Source organism: Homo sapiens, chromosome 14 (genome assembly GCF_000001405.40).
Source record: "Homo sapiens chromosome 14, GRCh38.p14 Primary Assembly".
Classification (NCBI taxonomy): domain Eukaryota; kingdom Metazoa; phylum Chordata; class Mammalia; order Primates; family Hominidae; genus Homo; species Homo sapiens.
This window is the reverse complement of record NC_000014.9, coordinates 89,568,312-89,586,202: the sequence shown is the minus strand read 5'-3', so window position 1 is coordinate 89,586,202 and position 17,891 is coordinate 89,568,312. Positions and strand designations below refer to the sequence as shown.

General features: G+C 44.1%; 1 protein-coding gene and 1 long non-coding RNA gene across 2 annotated transcripts in view; one reads left to right on the top strand and one right to left on the bottom strand.

Moving 5' to 3' along the window:
- Positions 1–17,891, top strand: part of FOXN3 (forkhead box N3) — a 462,989-nt gene that overhangs the window by 32,963 nt on the left and 412,135 nt on the right. The window lies entirely within an intron of this gene.
- FOXN3-AS2 (FOXN3 antisense RNA 2) lies at positions 8,726–9,987 on the bottom strand. The gene has a single exon (NR_024620.1). It is a non-coding gene; the product is annotated as an FOXN3 antisense RNA 2 (long non-coding RNA).

The following is a 17,891-nucleotide window of genomic DNA, read 5'->3' as shown; positions in this document are numbered from 1 at the left end:
TCTATCATTCATTCAGCAAATACTTTTGATCCGGTATGCCAGGCCAGGCATTGGTGCTGGGTAATTTGAGAGGGAAGATACCAAGCTGAATCGGATAGAGATTCCACCTCAAGACCTGTAGTCTATAGAATATAGGAAGATTATGTGAGGAAGTAGCCCCACATACTACTTCACATACATACGTAGTGAGATGGGCTACGATCCCATCTCACTCAAGCTTTCGCTTGAATGTTACTTCCCATGTAAACCTACCCTGACTACCCTATTTAAATTGTCACCTGCCCCAACCCTGCAATCTCTAGCATCCCTAATCTCCTTCATCCTGCCCTACCTTTTCTTTTTGCCAAACGCTCTTCATCTTTCAGCATACTATGTAATTTACTATTTGTTGTGTCTATTATTTTTCTTTCTTTCTTTCTTCCTTCCTTTCTTTTTTTTTTTTTTTCTAGTCAAGTGAAGCAGTGGGAGTGGAGAAGGAACAAATAAATCTATTAGTTTTTGTGATCAGTTAGTTGTAAATACCACTGTACTCAGACCGGCCTATTATTTCTTTATTATTATCCATCTCCTTCTGCTAGAATGTCAACTCTGCCAGGGCAGGGAGCTTTTTTAGTCTCTGTTTTGCTCATGGATGTATCCCAAGGGCCTCCAGTAATGCCTGGCCCATAGTAGATGCTCAGGGAATATTTGTTTAATGAATGAATTTGGGTAAAGTAAACCTCAAAGATCTGGGGGGAATGAATTTCTCTAGCATACATATGATAAAGCAGACATGACTTAAACACATTTACTTTTCTTATTAAAAACAACAACAAATAAGTAGAAATCAAGGTAGAAAGTTAGAAATGGCAGAAGAAAAAGACATTTCTGGCAGCTTGGATGAGGAAACCATTACTCTCAAACTGGGCTCAGGAAAGGATTGAGAATGAATGTAGCATCTCTTCTGGGACTTGAAGGATCAATAGAATTCGAATTGGCAAAAATATAGGTGAAGAAGGCATTAAGTTATTTAAAGCGAAGGAAACAGCATCAGCAAAATTATAGAGGAAAGTGTGAGGTGTGTGGGTCTAGGGGCTTATACATTGCGTTTGATTAGACTGAATGGTACACAAAGAGGAATACTGGAAAAAATAAGGTTGAAAAGTGAGATTGGCCAATAAAAAATGGACAATTTGAAAAGAGACACTTGCCGGGCACGGTGGCTCACGCCTGTAATCCCAGCACTTCGGGAGGCTGAGGCGGGCGGATCACCTGAGGTCAGGAGTTCAAGACCAGCCTGGCCAACACGGTAAAACCCCATCCATCTCTACAAAAATACAGAAATTAGCCGGACATGATGGCAGGTGCCTGTAATCCCAGCTACTCAGGAGGCTGAGGTGGAAGAATTGTTTGAACCCGGGAGGCAGAGTTTGCAGTGAGCCAAAATTGTGCCTTTGCTCTCCAGCCTGGGCGACAGAGTGAGACTCTGTCAAAAAAGAAAAAAGAAAAGAAAAGAGAAGAGAAGAAAAGAAGAGAAAAGACACTTTACCAAAGAGATATATGGATGACAAATAAGTACCTGAAAATATATTCATATTATAAATCTTTAGGGAAATGAAATTAAATTCATATTTTGATACTGCACCACCTAGTATAAAATTAAAAAGACCAGTTATACTAAATGTTGATGAGAATGTAAAGAAACGGAAACTCTCATACTCTGCTGGTGGGAATGTGAAATTGGGTAACCACAGTCATTGTACGTTTTGTGCTGCTATAACAGAATACCTGACACTAGGTTATTTATTTATTATTTATTTATCAAGATGGAGTTTCCCTGGGTCGCCCAGGCTGGCGTACAGTGGTGCGATATCGGTTCACTGCAACCTCCGCCTCCCAGGCTCAAAAGATTCTCCTGCCTCAGCTTCCTGAGTAGCTGGGGCTATAGGCACACACCACCATGCCTGGCTAATTTTTAAAATATTTTTAGTAAAGATGGGGTTTCACCATGTTGGCCAGGCTGGTCTTGGCCGGCCTCTGTTCTTTATAAATTACCTAGTGTTAGGGCCAGGTGTGGTGGCTCATACCTGTAATCCCAGCACTTTGAGAGGCCGAGGCAGGCAGATTCCTTGAGTAAAGAGTTCAAGACCAGCCTGGCCAACATGGTGAAACCCCATCTCTACTGAAAATACAAAAATTAGCTGGGTGTGGTGGTGGCACATGCCTGTAGCCCCAGCTACTCGGGAGGTTGAGGCAGGAGAATTGCTTGAACCCGGGAGGCGGAGGTTGCAGTGAGTCGAGATCACACCACTGCACTCCAACCTGGGTGACAGAGCAAGACTCCATCTAAAAAATAAATAAATAGGCTGGGTGCGGTATCTGACACCTATAATCCCAGCACTTTGGGAGGCCGAGGTGGGCGGATCACTTGAGGCCAGGAGTTTAAGACCAGCCTGGCCAACATGGTGAAACCCTGCCTCTACTAAAAATACAAAAATTAGCCAGATGTGGTGGCACACGCCTGTAATCCCAGCTACTCAGGAAGCTGAGAAGGAGAATTGCTTAAGCCTAGGAGGCAGAGGTTGTAGTGAGATGAGATGGTGCCACTGCACTCCACCCTGGGCAACAGAGTGAGACTCCATTTCAAAAAACAAAAATAAAAACAGGAAGAGAGAGAGAGAGAACACACAAATTCACAGTTCTGGCGGCTGGAAAGTCTTAAGATCAAAATGCCAGCATTGGGTCTGGTGAGGGCCTTCTTGCAGCATCCTTCCATGGCAGAAGGCGGAAGCGCAAAATGGGATGAATGCTGTGTCCTTGTACGGCAAAAGAGCAGGAGAGAGAGAACCTACTCCTGAAAGCCCCTCTATAGCGGCATTAATCCATCTATGAGGGCAGAGACCTCATGAACTGAGCACCTGCCCAGATGCCTCACCTCTCAACAATGCTGCATTGGGGATGAGTTTCTAATAAATGAATTTTGAGGGGCAAAAACATTCAAGCCATAGCAATCACTTTGAAAACAGTTAAGCAATTTCTTAAAAAGGTAAACGTATATCTACCATATGATCTACTCATTACAGTCAATGAGTCTAAGAGAATGCCAGTCTAAGAGAAATGAAAGCGTACATTCACACAAAGACTTGTATGTAATCTTCATAGCAGCTTTATTTACAATAACACCAAACTGGAAATGCCATCAACAGGCCAATGAGAAATCAAATGGTGGTATATCTATACAATGGAACACTATTCAGCAATAAAAATAAACTATTGATACACATGACATTATGGAAGAATCTCAAAATAATTGTATTAAGTAAAAGAAACCCTACCAGAAAAGAGCATATATATTGTATGATTACATATGTATACAGTTATAGAAAATGCAGACTCATCTATAAGGACAGAAAGCATATAAGTGATTTGAGATGGCAGGGGAGATGGCTGGGAGAAGGATTAAAAGGAGCAAGAGGGAACTTTTGGAGATGATGATCATGGTGATGGTTTCACAGGTGTATATATATGTTAAAACCTATCAAATTGCATTCTTTAAATGTGTGAATAATATCCCAATAAAGCTGTTTTAAAAAGGTGAGTTTGCTACTCGGGAGGCTGAGGCAGGAGAATGGCATGAACCCGGGAGGTGGAGCTTGCAGTGACCTGAGATTGCGCCACTACACTCCAGCCTGGGTGACAGAGCGAGACTCCGTCTCAAAAAAAAAAAAAAAAAAAAGGTGAGTTTAAAGTCAACTCACCTAGGCTCTTCACGCTTAGGCTAAGGTATTTATATTCTTCAGTTGGCTATTCCTCTATTCAAACACTAATTTAAAAAATATTTATTGCGTGCTGATTATGTGCTGAACACTATGCATGGCTATTAATATAAATAGAGAACCTTGGAGAAGGGACTGGGAAGTAAGTGATGAGTTTCATTTTGGACATGAGTTTGGGGCGTCTGATGTGTTACCTGGTAGAGATGAGGAGCGGGCAGCTGAAAATACCAAGACATACTTGGGAAGAGAACAAGGATGGACATAATGATTTACATGCTTCCCACAGACGGGGGACTGTTGGAGCCAGAAGATTTAGTAAGATTATTAGAGGAGAACGTGGGGAACATGTGGCATGACACTTGGTGGACACATTAGTGTGTTTATTCTCACTGCTGCAGAAGACCTGAAAAAATTTTCTTCCTTCCTTCCCAATAAAACAGTGAAATGTTTGTACTCTGAATCTGGTCTCCCTTGCCTCGGAGAGTTGTTACAACTTTTTGTCCTGGGGCTAAATGTTGGGTTTCCAGATACCTAGAAGTCAACCCCAACTCAGACTTTTTTAGGAAACTGGATAAAAGTCAAGGATGTGAGGAAGGCAGATGCTAGGAATTGAGAATACAAAAATGGCTCAGTGTGAATGATGGGGGATTGTGCGGGGCTGCTAGGCTTCTCTGACTCTAGGAGAGGGAATCCCTGAAGTAGAAGAGACCCATGTCCACTGTCCTGTGGTATAAGAGAATGTGCCAAACTCTGGGATAGCTTAGCATGTGGATGCTGGAAGGACTTAACATCAAACACCATGGCCCTGGGAGCCACAGTCAAGCACTCCTGTGGTCCCACTTGGTTTTGAGGGAAAAGAGCAGGTACCGGGGAATAGTCGGATGACACGTATCATACAAGTGACCCAGGGAACTTTAAACCACGTGCTTTTTTCCTATTCTATCTTTCTCTTTTTTTTTTTCTTTGAGACAGAGTTTTCTGCTTGTCGCCCAAGCTAGACTGCAATGGCACGATCTTGGCTCACTGCAACCTCTGCCTCCTGGGTTCAAGTGATTCTCCTGCCTCAACCTCCCAAGTAGGTGAGATTACCGGCACACACCACCGTGGCCAGCAAATTTTGAAATTTGTAGTAGAGACGGGGTTTCACTATGTTGGCCAGGCTGGTCTCAAACTCCTGACCTCAGGTGATACTCCCCCCTCAGCCTCCCAAAATGTTGGGATTATGGCCGTGAGCCACCGCACCCAGCCTTTTTTGTTTTTGTTTCTGAGACAGGGTCTCACTCTGTCACCCAAGCTGGAGTACATTGGCATGATAATGGCTCACTGTGGCCTCGACCTTCCAGGCTCAAGTGATCCTTCCACCCCAGCCTCCCAAGTAACTGGGACTACAGGCACACACCACCACGATTGGCTAATTTTTTTTTTTTTGTAGAGATGAGGTCTAACTGTGTTGCCCAGGCTGGTCTTGAACTTCTTGGCTCAGGTGATCCTCCTACCTCGGCCTCCCAAAGTGCTGGGATTACAGGCATGAGCCAACACACCTGGCCATTTCCCCCTATTCTCTAGGTACCATGTAAGCCCCCAAGATGTCCCTCTGACCCCAGAAGGGGAATAGGTCCCTAAAAACATAATTGAAATTAAATTTCCATTAAGTGAGGCCTTGGGATCCAGATTTAATTTGATTTAGAAGAAATAAAGTAATGTCATGTCCCTTGCCCTCAACTTGCATCAATTATGGAGCAAATGTATTCCCACTAGAAATAAAACCAGGTCAAGATCCTTAGGGAACACATATTTGAGGGAGAGCTGCCTCAATTCTGGAGGGGGATCAGGTGTTAGTACAAAGAATTACACAGATGGAGGTTGGGCAGAGGTGGGGGACCATCTAGAAACGAACTATTTCCATCCTTTGCCTAACATTTTCCAGTAGGATGAGACTGTATCCCCTTAAAGGGTTTTGAGAAAGTGGAGTCCATATATGGCACTGTTATGTGGTCCTTAACTCTTGACTGTATTTATACAATTACCCAGCTTGACTGACAGCCCTTGGTGGTGGTTTCCTTCGAGCACAGAACAGGTTTTGGCTAAAACTACTCAGCATGGTACCTGGAAAACCATCCTCTGAGAGTTTACAGAACACCTTGTAATCTGGAAGGAAATTATTCCTCCTAACATGTCTGTAAGAAACTCATTTTGTTCATCCATTTTAGAGATGAGGTAATTGTGGTGGAAGAGCCGAATACAAGTTCCTGGGCAACTTATTTCTGGAGACTCTTAGGAGGAAAATTACTGCTCTTGACTGATTTCCTAGACTCTGCTAGAAATACCAATCTGGTGTTTAGAAATATGGGTTATGGAGTCAAATGGATTCAGGTTCAAATTCTGGCTTTGCCTTCAGTTACCTCTATATAACTTTGCACTGAACCCTGGGAACCTCATTTTTTTTTCTTTTCAGAATAGGAATAATCTATCTCATAAAGTTAGAGAAAATTGTAGAGATACATATTTATTCCTTTATGTATTTATTAAGTGTTATTGGGTATGTACTCTGTAGCAGTGAGAGAGTCGGGGTTCCTTCTATGATTCAATTGAAGACACAAGGAAATAACAAACAGCTAAACAAGTAAATATACAAGATACTATGGGGTGTGAGATAATCATGCAGGGTAAAAAAAATGACAAAGAATGGTAGTTGAACCATTTGGTAAGGGTGGCCAGATACGGGTTCTCTGCATGGAAGGGGCTAGCCTTGTACATGCCAAGGTCCTGAGGTGGGAGTAGCTTGCATGTCTGAGGAACAGGAAGAAGGACCTGTGTGGCTGGAGGTTGGTGAGTTGTGGAATGGCTGGGAGATGAAATGGCAGGATCCCATCACCTCAGGGCTTATGGGCAAGAGAAATGTGGATTTTATTGCTCGTATATTGGGAAACTACTAGAGGATTTTATGTGAAGAAGTCACTGAATTGGATTTATATTCTTAAAAGAATATTTTGGCTGGGCACAGTGGCTGATGCCTGTAATCCTAGCACTTTGGGAGACTGAGGCAGGAGGATCACTTGAGGCCAGGAGTTTGAGGCCAGCCTGGGCAACATAGTGAGACCCCGTCTCTACAAAAAAAAACATAAATAAATTAGCCAGGCGTGATGGCATGTGCTTGTGGTCCGAGCTACTCAGGAGGCTGAGGTGGGAGGATCCCTTGAGCCCAGGAGTTTGAGGCTGCAGTGAGCCATGATCATGCCAGTGTACTTCAGCCTGGGTGACAGGGTGAGACCTTGTCTAAAAAAAAAAAAAAAAAAATGGCTGGGCATGGTGGCTCATGCCTGTAATCCTAGCACTTTGGGAGGCCGAGATGGGAGGATCACTTGAGGCCAAGAGTTTGAGACTGGCCTCAGCAACATAGTGAGACCTCGTCTCTAGAAAAAAATTTAAAAAATTCAACAGGTGTGTTGGCATGTGACTATAGTCCCGGATACTCAGGTGGCTGAGGTGAGAGGGTCACTTAGGCCCAGCAGGTTGAGGCTGCAGTGAGCTGTAATAGTGCCACTGCACTCCTGCCTGGGCGAAGGAGCAAGACCCTGTCTCAAACAAAACAAAACAAAAAAATCATTCTGGCTACTGTGTGGAGGATGGAATTAGAGAGACCAGTTAAGAGGAGTGACAGTGTCTAGGAGAGAAGAAGGGGGCTTTGGTTAGAGTGAGGAAGTGGAACGGCAAAAAAAGAGCAGTTCAGGATTGTGTTTGGAAGCAGAGGCAACAGGGCTTGCTGACGGATTAGAAGGGGAGGGTGAGAGAAAGGGAGGAATGGAGGATTATTTTAGAATTTTGGAAGGTGGTATCATTTCTTGAGATTGGAAAGACTTGGAGTGAACACATTTGGGGTGGGGAAGTGGAGAACAAGAGTTCTGTGTCGGTCAGCCTAAGTTTGAGATGCCTGTTGCACGTGTCAGGGAGTGCTGCTGGCTGTACCCATCTGGAGCTCAGGGGGAGAGTCATGGAATTTGAGTTATTAGCATGTACGCGGTGTCTGTAGCTAGAAGGTTGGGTAAGATCATCCAGAGAGAGGGGGTAGAAGAGACAGAAGTGCCTGGACAGAGTCCTGAGCACTAAAATGTCAAGATCAGATGAAAAAAGATTAGCTAGCAAAAATCACTGAGAAGGAACTCTCATTGAAGTTGCTGAAAGAGAAGTGGGCATCTGGTGTTGCAAAACCACAGGGCTGGACACACTGTAGACATTCAAAGAGAGTTAGTTTCTTCTTTAATGGAAAAGTATCATTCATCCATTTTAGGTCTTTCAAAGGATATTATATTACCTTTCATCCCAGCATAAATTCAAATTGCCATGGCATTTTTTCCCTTTCATATGTCTTTCAAGGTTGAAATATAGAGCCCTGAAGAGCTGTGGGTTGGTCACCTCTCTTCGAAAGCATGCATTTGCTAGGTTGCAAATCCACCAAGGGAAGATTTCTCTTTTTCCACTGGAAGTTCACATGATTTAATTTGCCTGAGTAACCTGCTGTCATAGGTTTTCATAGAGTCCTGACATCTAACAGAGTAATTAATGCTTTAGGCTTTTAGGAGCTGTTTCAGGTTTTTATTAATCACCGTTGTGATTGCACGTGTGAATTATGAAGGAGTTATTTTGGTAGTTGAATTTCCTCCTCAGGAAAATTTCCATATTTGTTCATGATGAACTGATAGCCTGAAGAAAAAGGAGAAAATGGAGAATTTTCCCCGGGTCCGAAGCAGGCACTCCACATTATCCAGGGTAAGAATGACTTCCTAGAGAACAGAAGGAGTGTGAGGTGTTTGAAGCTGGTGGTTAACCGTTTTCTCTTTCCCTCCCTGAAATTTAATTAGAAATTCCCCGTGATTGCCCCGGGAATATATGGATTTTGTGAACTTTGTAAAGATGTGTGGCATCATTTCATCCTGACATCATTTGCCATGAATTTGCAGGTTTTTTATTCCTTTATGATTCCTGCCATTGGAGGAATCACTCCTAGGACCTTCCTGATTCGTCTACTGGTCTTTTTGGGGTTTTCCAGAAGACGGAGGTATCTAGGTAATCGGAAGGAAATAGAAACCTATCCTTATAATTTTATTTATGGAGGACTACATGGATTTTCAAAATTATGTGATTGTACTTGAGATCAGTGTATGAAAAAGGAATGCACTGAGCGGAGTCTAGTCCTTAGGATTCTCTTCTGAAGTGTGAAAAAGAAAACACAATAGCTGTTATCTTGGAAACTCCGCCCCTCCAGGCATTCACTCGCACCCCAGGCATTTGCAGGCCCTCTGCATAGACTCTGCTGTGGCTACACGTGGGTCTTCCGTGCCATTTTCCTTGGCATGTGAGTAAATGTAGGTTTCCCCTGTGTTTATGGGAAATTTTACTCCCAGCCTTTTACGGTGACAAGAGAAGACTGGCTGCTTTACTCAGCACAGGGCGCTTTTCAATGATTAGAGCGATTTTCTCTGATTCTACTATACTTAGGGAAGATTTTTGAGACTACAAATACAAGACAAAGTAGTTATGTATCAGCATACGGATGGAGGCAGCCACTGTGCTAGTATCCAATTCTTTGACTACTGAGTGAAAATAGCTGCTCCTGTTCTAATTGCCATTTTTACTCTTCCTAAGTGGCCAGTTGGGAGAGACGGAGGAGGGAGGGAAGGAGCTGGGTTGGGCGGGAGGAGGTCCATTTGCAAAGTCAACAGCGGAAGTGTTCGGGGAACAGAAGACATCTGATCCGAATTCTATACAGATAAGGGAAGGATTGGATACCCAGCAGATGGGCCACCCTTCTAATTCTGCAGTAGCTTGCCGTGACAGACTTCTAATCTGATGGTATTTTCATCTTAATTTACTTGCAACCTGTTTTGTTTTGTTTTGGGTTTTTTTTTTTTTGTAGGTAACAGCATTTCTGACAAAGGTGATACATTTGCTAAAGCTTAACATTCAGATTCCTTCCTTGTCTGAGTGTTATATAATTATATATACATTTGGGCTCAAAGGTCCCAGTCTAACAAATTCCCTTCACAGGAGCACCATTTGAGGGCCCATTCTCTCATTAATTTTATTTGACATTTATGTCAACATTACATTCCTAGCCTAAAAGGAGAAATCACATGAGTACGCAGGGGCGTATTTTAAAGTGGAGTATTTAGTTTGGCAGTGAAAGGCACCCGGCGAAGTCTGCGAAAGCAACGTTTTCTAAATTAGTTAATATAAAGTGGTCTAAATGCACTAAATTTATATTGTTCTACAATGTGCTAAATGCTAGAGCACGTGGCTGTTTTGATATTTCTAACATTTTCCCCCTGGGGCTCCCAGAATTGCCTAAGATGGGTGTCTCTGGAAAATAAACTTGGGAGCCATCAGAGGTGTCAGGAACAGCTGAAAACAAGTCACTTACGATGTCAGCGATGGAATTTGCTTCCGTGAGACCTTGTGCAAAAATCAAAGACCTGATTCTTCTGCTTAGCCTAACTTCAGAGCGAGGAGTTTATCGGTGGGGCATAGAGGCATCTGGTCCCCAGTTCTGCTGAATGAAGAGTTTCACAGGCGCTGCGTGGAGGCCGGAGGGCGGTTGCCAGCCCCAGCCCAGCATTGGGAGCCAATCACATGGCCACGACTTTGCCTAGTGCTTCCCAAAGTAGACAAAAGCGTGAACTGGGGTTATCAAACCTAAATAAGAAACAGTTGTTAGAGACCATCGGTATCCTCTGATTTGGGAGCTAAGTTGAATTTTGATTCAAGAGATGCCACGAGAGAGGGAAAGAGCTTCCCCTAAGCAGCCTCCAAGGGCCCGAGCGTGGCAGCTCCTTCTGCTTCCAAAATGCTGACTTGTACATACTTGGTGGTTTTTGTGCTCTGGAGCTGTGCTTTGTGTTTGGCTATAACAATGAGTTGCAGACTGGGTTTTTGCTTTGCAGAGAATTCACCAGCATTGGAGAGGACCTGCCTTTGGTAAAAGCAGGGAGTGGGCAGTTTGTCCAGCCCCCGTCGCTTGAGTTTATTATAGTGTTTATCCCTTCTCCCTATCATCCCCACCCCAGCCAGGGTTTACTGACCCAAAACGACCTCCCAATTTCCTTTCTGCCATCTCTATCATGAATCTCAAGGGTCAAGTGCTTGGTCACCAGCTGACCTGTGAGCCTACCCAGATAGCAAGGTCCTTCAAGGTCATCTTAGAGTGATCTTAACTATGATCTTCTAGAGTCAGTGTCGCTTGGGGGTCCCCTTCGTGGGTTGGCAGAAAGGTGAGGATTTTGTCAGGGAAAATAGAGGAGGAAGGATGATTGCAGTTTATGAAGGAGAAACTTTGAGTCTGAGTTAGCTTTCATCAGAGTCAGTATAGACAACCTTGCTCTCAACACCTCACTTTGGCTTAGAGCACTTCGTGATTTTCTTACCTGATCTCATCTGCTTCAGCTTCCCGCTGGCCTTGTTTGCATACCGATCAGCTGGTGGGGTAGCAGTAGAGTGTTTTAGAGTTCCAGTACACCCTTCCTTTCCTATAAAGGCACAACATACAGAAGAAATAGAAATTTACAATTTTTTTTTTAAAGCTGTAAAGGCAATTCTGATTTTCATAGGGAAGAGATTTTAAGAATTGGAGGAGCCTCGGAGGTCTTTGCATGTCTAGATAAGCTTGGAGGTTAAGAGCCAGGTCTCCTAACATTTGGCCCAGTCTTCTTTTCTTGTTCCAGCCACTGCCTGTAGGACGATCAGAGAAGCTTCCCATTGAGATTCCAACATAGGGATGTAAAGTGGTAGGAAATCCTTCTGCTAAGAGCTGATAACAGTTATGTACCAACACTATGGGAGGGAGTGGCCCTTTGAGATGGTGGAGTGAAATCCTGGGGCTGTGTCTTGGCAGGGGGCAGAGCTGGGACTGGCACCAAGCTCCCTCAAGCACTCAGTTCAGTGGTCTCCTCCCTGTTTCCTGGGTAGAAGGCGATTGCAGGCACCCACTGGTTCTCTCTCTGCTCTCTCCCTGCCAGCCACCAAGCGTATCCCTGCCAGGCCATTATCACCACCTCGCCAGAGAAGACCAGAAACCTTATTCTGGAAGTTAGAACCATGGAACGAATATGTCCTTATTAGACCATGCCTCTGTTTTTAACTTGGTTAAATGAACTACCATTCTCTTATAAAACATCCACTTTTCTAGAACCCTTGTTGCTGATGTTGGCTGCCCAGAGGTGGCACTTTTCAGCCAGGAAGAGGTGGGGGTCTGCTTTGGAGTGGAGTGAATTATTGAGTAGGGGCTGAAGGGAGAGTGGCTCAGACCAACAATAATTGCAAACAGTGGCCATGGAGATAATTCCCTTTGCCTCCTATCTCCTTAAAAAAGTGACTCCTCTTTGCTACTAAGGACCTTGCTTTCTTTTTACTTTATTTTATTTTTGGAGATGGGGTCTTGCTGTGTTGCTCAGGCTGGAATGCAATGGCACCATCACGGCTCACTGCAGCCTCGACCTCCCAGGCTCAAGGGATCCTCCTGCCTTAGCCTCCTGAGTAGCTGGGACCACAGGTGCCCCCACACCAAGCCTGCTAGTTTTTTTATTAAAATAGAGACAGGGTCTCCCCATGTTGCTCAGGCTGGTCTCGAACTTATGGGCTTCCAAAAAGATCATGCACCCGGCCATGACCTTGCTTTAATCCTCTTGTGGCCTTTAGGCACAGCATGCACATTCTGATGGGGTCCTTAATTGTTGTCCCCAGTACTTGTATATGTGTTATCTGGCATGTTGCTTGGCCTGGGGATGAAGGGGCTCAGGTATTGTCTATGTGCAAACTTTCTTTTCCAGTGCAATTTAGAAACTGCTGTTGGACTCCCATCCCGTGGATGGGAGGCCATTCTCTTCCTTAACGGGATTTGGAAAGCAAAAAGCATGCTGGTCTTCTAAGTGCAGCTTTATTGGCATTTGGCTTCCTGCAATATATTTGTAATATAGTATGTATGCTGTATCTGAGTAAATCAGTAGGTATGTTTTGAAATTAAATATTTGCTAAGGGCTAGGCTCTTCTCGTGTTAAATTATTGATAATAAACTTCACAGACACTGTATGAGACTTGATGATATATGATTTTTGAGTGACCTGCCATTTATTAGACTTTATCTGCCCATGAAATCTATTTCCAATTCAGACCATATCTGCTTCGGGATTGCTTGCCAGAAATCTATTCCCAAGATTCTCCTTATTTCAGTGAAATATCTCTGGCTCAGCACCTTTCCCACGGCGGCTGATCTAATCGGGGCTGGATCACTTATCGCTTCTCATTTCCTTTGGCAGCACTGTCAAACTAGAAGTGCATCTCGGGGACACTCAGAAGCACTAGGTGACGCACCTCCTTCTCCCTTTTCCTGTATGGCAGAAGGTAGGGAGAGGTGAACTCCCCAAACCACAGCCCTGCTCTAGGGTCTAAGCAGAAACAGGACCACCTTTGTGGTTAGGCTAACAGAAGTTGTGTCCCTGCCTCCCTCTCTGCCAGGAGCTGTCATGGAAGTGCCACATGGAACCCTGTTCGATGACCCCGAGCAATTAGAACTCATTTGCATGGCATGGAAGGCCAAGCTGGGGCCCCGAGGCTTTTTCAGCTCCCCCTTCTTCCCTGACTTCTCTGTAGACAGGTGCATACTTCTGGCTATGGCAAGGGCCAGCTGGCAGGAGGACTCTAACTTGTCATCACAGAAATAAAATTTGTCACCTCTGTGTTCCCAACCTCTGTTCTTTCATGTTTAACCAGCACTCTGCATCTTTGTAAACATGTCAGAGTTCTATTTTTATTTCCTAATTAATTCAGAAAAGGAGCAGAAGACATTGCTAATGATAGGAAAGGGGAAGATCACAAAGGTAGGATGAAGGGTGGCTTTTATTTTTCAGTTGAATGAGGCAATTGAATGAATATGTGGCATCCAGCAATTAGAAAAATTACTTAGGGCCAGCCAGTGCCTGGGCGATTCTCGGGCTGCCCTGAAACTGGTCAGAATTTATTCCTATGAGCATGTCTAAACTTATCAACTTCAGTGGCCAGCTTTTCTTCTTATACTAATAGACAGTGAGACTTCATTTTCCCAAACACAAGGGAGAATACAAATTTCCACATATATTAATCTTTTAATTATTTGAAATGTGTTTTAGCACTGCTTCTAAAGTTATATTCTCTGAGTACATTAAACCTAATTTAACCTTTGACTTGATTTAAAATCATCTTTATAAACATCTGGAACTGTATGATCTGTATACTTTAGTGATTCCAGAATCTTAACAATCTCAAGGGTGTAGTCTTTTAATTAAATGAGCTTTTCCTCCATTCCATTGTTACCGAAAGGCTAAAATAATAGATATGGAGTAATGGAAAGAGTTCTAAACTTGGAATCAAAACTCTACTTCTAATTTAAGTTTAATCATTAATTCACTGTGTGACCTTTAGCAAGTCTCTGAACATCTCTGAGCATTTATTTCTTCATCTATAAAAATGAAGAATTGGACCATAAGACTCCTAAGGTTGTTGACATTTCTAAAATTCTATAATTTTATGATCAAGGACCATGCTACTCAGTAATACCAGGTATCTGAAGGGCTTTTGAGGTGTTTCTTAATGATATGGCTCCAAACTACCATCATTGTGTTGGCTTTGAAGCTTTCCTATATTTTATGGGTAGGCAAACTATAGCCTGAAGGCCAAATCGGGCTTACCATCTGTTTTTTGTAAATAAAGTTTTATTGGCACAGAGCCACACTCATTTGTTTAGGTGTTGTCTATGGCTGCTTTTGAGCTACAGTGGTGGAGTTGAGTAGTTGCAACAGAGGTGGTGTGGTACATGATGTCTAAAATACTTACTTTCTGATCTTTATATAAAAAGTTCACCAACTTTTATTCTTTTTTCATTCTCAGTCTGTCACTTTTCTTTTTTTTTTTTTGTGAGACAGAGTCTCACTCTCCTGCCCAGGCTGGAGTGTAGTGGCACAATCTCGGCTCGCTGCAACCTCCACCTCCCAGGTTCAAGCAATTCTCCTGCCTCAGCCTCCTGAGTAGCTGGGACTACAGGCGCCTGCTACCACGCTTGGCTAATTTTTGTATTTTTAGTAGAGGTGGGATTTCACCATGTTGGCCAGGCTGGTCTCAAACTCCTGACCTCAAATGATCCACCCACCTCGGCTTCCCAAAGTGCTGGGATTACAGGCGTGAGCCACCATGCCAGGCCAGTCTATCACCTTTCATTGCAATCACTCTCTCTCCCTCTAGGAATTTGTTTTAATTTACTTACCTCTACCTGTCTAGGGGTTAAGAAGCCAGACTGCACACCTGATTAGAATTAGGTTCAAAGTAAGAGTCTGTAGGTTTTGAACAAAAGTTTGAGGGGACAGTCTTTGAGTGCAGTGCTGAGTACAGTGCATGGGCTTTTAGCTACTTAGTGCTCCTTTCTTATTTAAATGTCTAGGTCATTCTGGATAGTTATAGTTAAAATTTCAACAAAGTTTGAAATGTCTAGAAATGGTTACTTTTATTTGCTGACAGTGGTTATGGATTTGTTGTAAAATCCACTTCCTACATGGGGCATCGCTACCATGGTTAGTCTGAAGGCAAAGGTAGACAACTGAACTTGAGGTCCAAAGACCTGGGTTTAGATCAGGGGTGTCCAATCTTTTGGCTTCCCTGAGCCACATTTGAAGAAGAATTGTCTTGAGCTACACATAAAATACACTAACAGTAATGATAGCTAATGAGCTAAAAAAAAAAAACCAAAATTGCAAAAAACTCATAATGTTTCAAGAGAGTTTACAAATGTGTGTTGGGCTGCATTCAAAGCCGTCCTGAGCCGCATGCCATTGGCAGGCCGTGGGTTGGACAAGCTTGGTTTTCCATCCTACTCAGCTATTCCATGGCTTTATGGCCTTAGCAATCCAATCCCTTCATTTTCCCGTTTTTTCATCTGTAAAATGGGAGAGCTTCTTAATGCATCATGAGGTTTGCTGCAAGGGACACCATGTTTTCGGCTCCACCCTTCAACTGCCCTCCACACTGCTTGGGTGGAGCAGCTGTGAGACTGATATGCCAAATTATAGAACTTGAAATGGGCCACAAGCAATGATGTGCAAGATTACTGTGCCTTAAAAATTACCAAGTGTACCGGCTGGATGCGGTGGTTCACGCCTGTAATCCCAGCGCTTTGGGAGGCTGAGGCAGGCGGATCACGAGGTCAGGGGATTGAGACCATCCTGGCTAACATGGTGAAACCTTGTCTCTACTAAAAATACAAAAAATTAGCCGGGCGTGGTGGCATGCACCTGTAGTTCCAGCTACTCGGAGGCTGGGGCAGGAGAATCGCTTGAACCTGGGAGGCGGAGATTGCAGTGAGCCGAGATTGCGCCACTGCACTCCAGCCTGAGCGACAGAGTGAGACTCCGTCTCAAAAAAAAAAAAAAACATACCAAGTGACTCCACGTGTTTCCTGTCTTCCCTGTGGCCAGGTGAGTAAGTAAGCCTTGCCGGAGCTCTGCACTGGACTCAGCTCTTGAGAAAGTTAAATTGAGTTTCCTTTTAGGCCCTTGTTCCTTGTGGATAGCTCCCTGGGTGGTAAGAGGAGTCAGGGTGATGGCCAAGAGCAACACCTGATGGCTCCCCATCAGGTATGATGATGGTGCCCTTTGGCAGGCACGGATCTGAGGCCACAGATGTATAGATGTTGTATAGATGACTCCTCTCACTCTGGTCTGTAAGTCCCTTAAAGGCAGCAACTAGTTTTTCATTTTAACTATTATTCTCCATTGCCTAGAACAATGTCTGGCCTCAACAAATATATGTTGGATTAATTTGTCATGATCAAGATTTTCTGGTGGCATGAAGTTTTCTTTGAGGTTGATTATCTATGTCAGTGGTGTGTCCAGGTAGACCTCCAAAGTAGCCATACATTTTAAGTTGGTTCAGTATACAGTGCTCAGTGTGATCACACAGCCGCCTCATGGAGGAAGCAGCATTTCCTTTAGGAGGTGGAAATAGAAGGCAGGCCACAGCTGCAGCTCAGCAGAGCTGGGCTGAAATCTTACTGGGAGGACTTGTTACAGCCCACTGCTCACCCAAGGTCACTTTCCACTACCTACGTATTAAATACTACTTTCCCTGACTCTTAGATGGGCACCCACCCCCACCCTCCATGCATTTTGCCCTTCTGCTGTCAGTGGGTAGTCTGGGTAGGATAATGGAAATGGCACCTTTCTTTTTCTTTGAGACGGAGTCTCGCTCTGTCCCCCAGGCTAGAGTGCAGTGGTGCGATCTTGGCTCACTGCAAGCTCCACCTCCCAGGTTCACGCCATTCTCCTGCCTCAGCCTCCAGAGTAGCTGGGACTATAGGCACCCGCCACCACGCCCGGCTAATATTTTTGTATTTTTAGTAGAGATGGGGTTTCACCGTGTTAGCCGGGTTGGTCTCGATCTCCTGACCTCGTGATCTGCCCGCCTTGGCCTCCCAAAGTGCTGGGATTACAGGCGTGAGCCACCGTGCCCGGCCAATGGCGCCTTTTAAACATAATCATAACTCAACTTGAAGTTTATCTAAGAAAGGGCCAAACCATCCATGATCCAAACCATGTGTAAATACATTTAGGAGCTTCCTCCTGTCACATAGACTTTTTTTGGGAAATAAATAAGCATTTTATTTATTCATTGTGAAAAATACTGAATTTCTCATTTGTGCCAAACATTATGCTAGTTGTTGGGTTATGGAATAAGAAGACCAGAGGGGGCCCTTGCCAGCAAGGAATTTCTGTATAATTAGCAAGTAAACAGACAAGTGGAACAATTGCAAATTGTGATAAGAAGCAAGAAAGGACGCAAATGTTAGGGGCCAGCCCTGAGGAGCTGACATTTACAAAGAGTCCTAAAAATCCCGAAGGAGTTCACTGTGCACATGGTGGAAAGGGCTTCCGTGCTGAGGGCAGAGCCTGTGCAAAGACCCTGGGGCTTGTGGAAGGAGCGACTGTGAGGGAGAGTGTGGCATGGATGTGCGGGGAGGTGGTCAGGGGCAGGGAGGAGGTTAGGTTTATTCTAGCTCTCATGGGAAAACATCGGCCAGTTTCAAGCATGAGAGTGGCATGGTCAGGTTTCTATTCAGAGCATCCC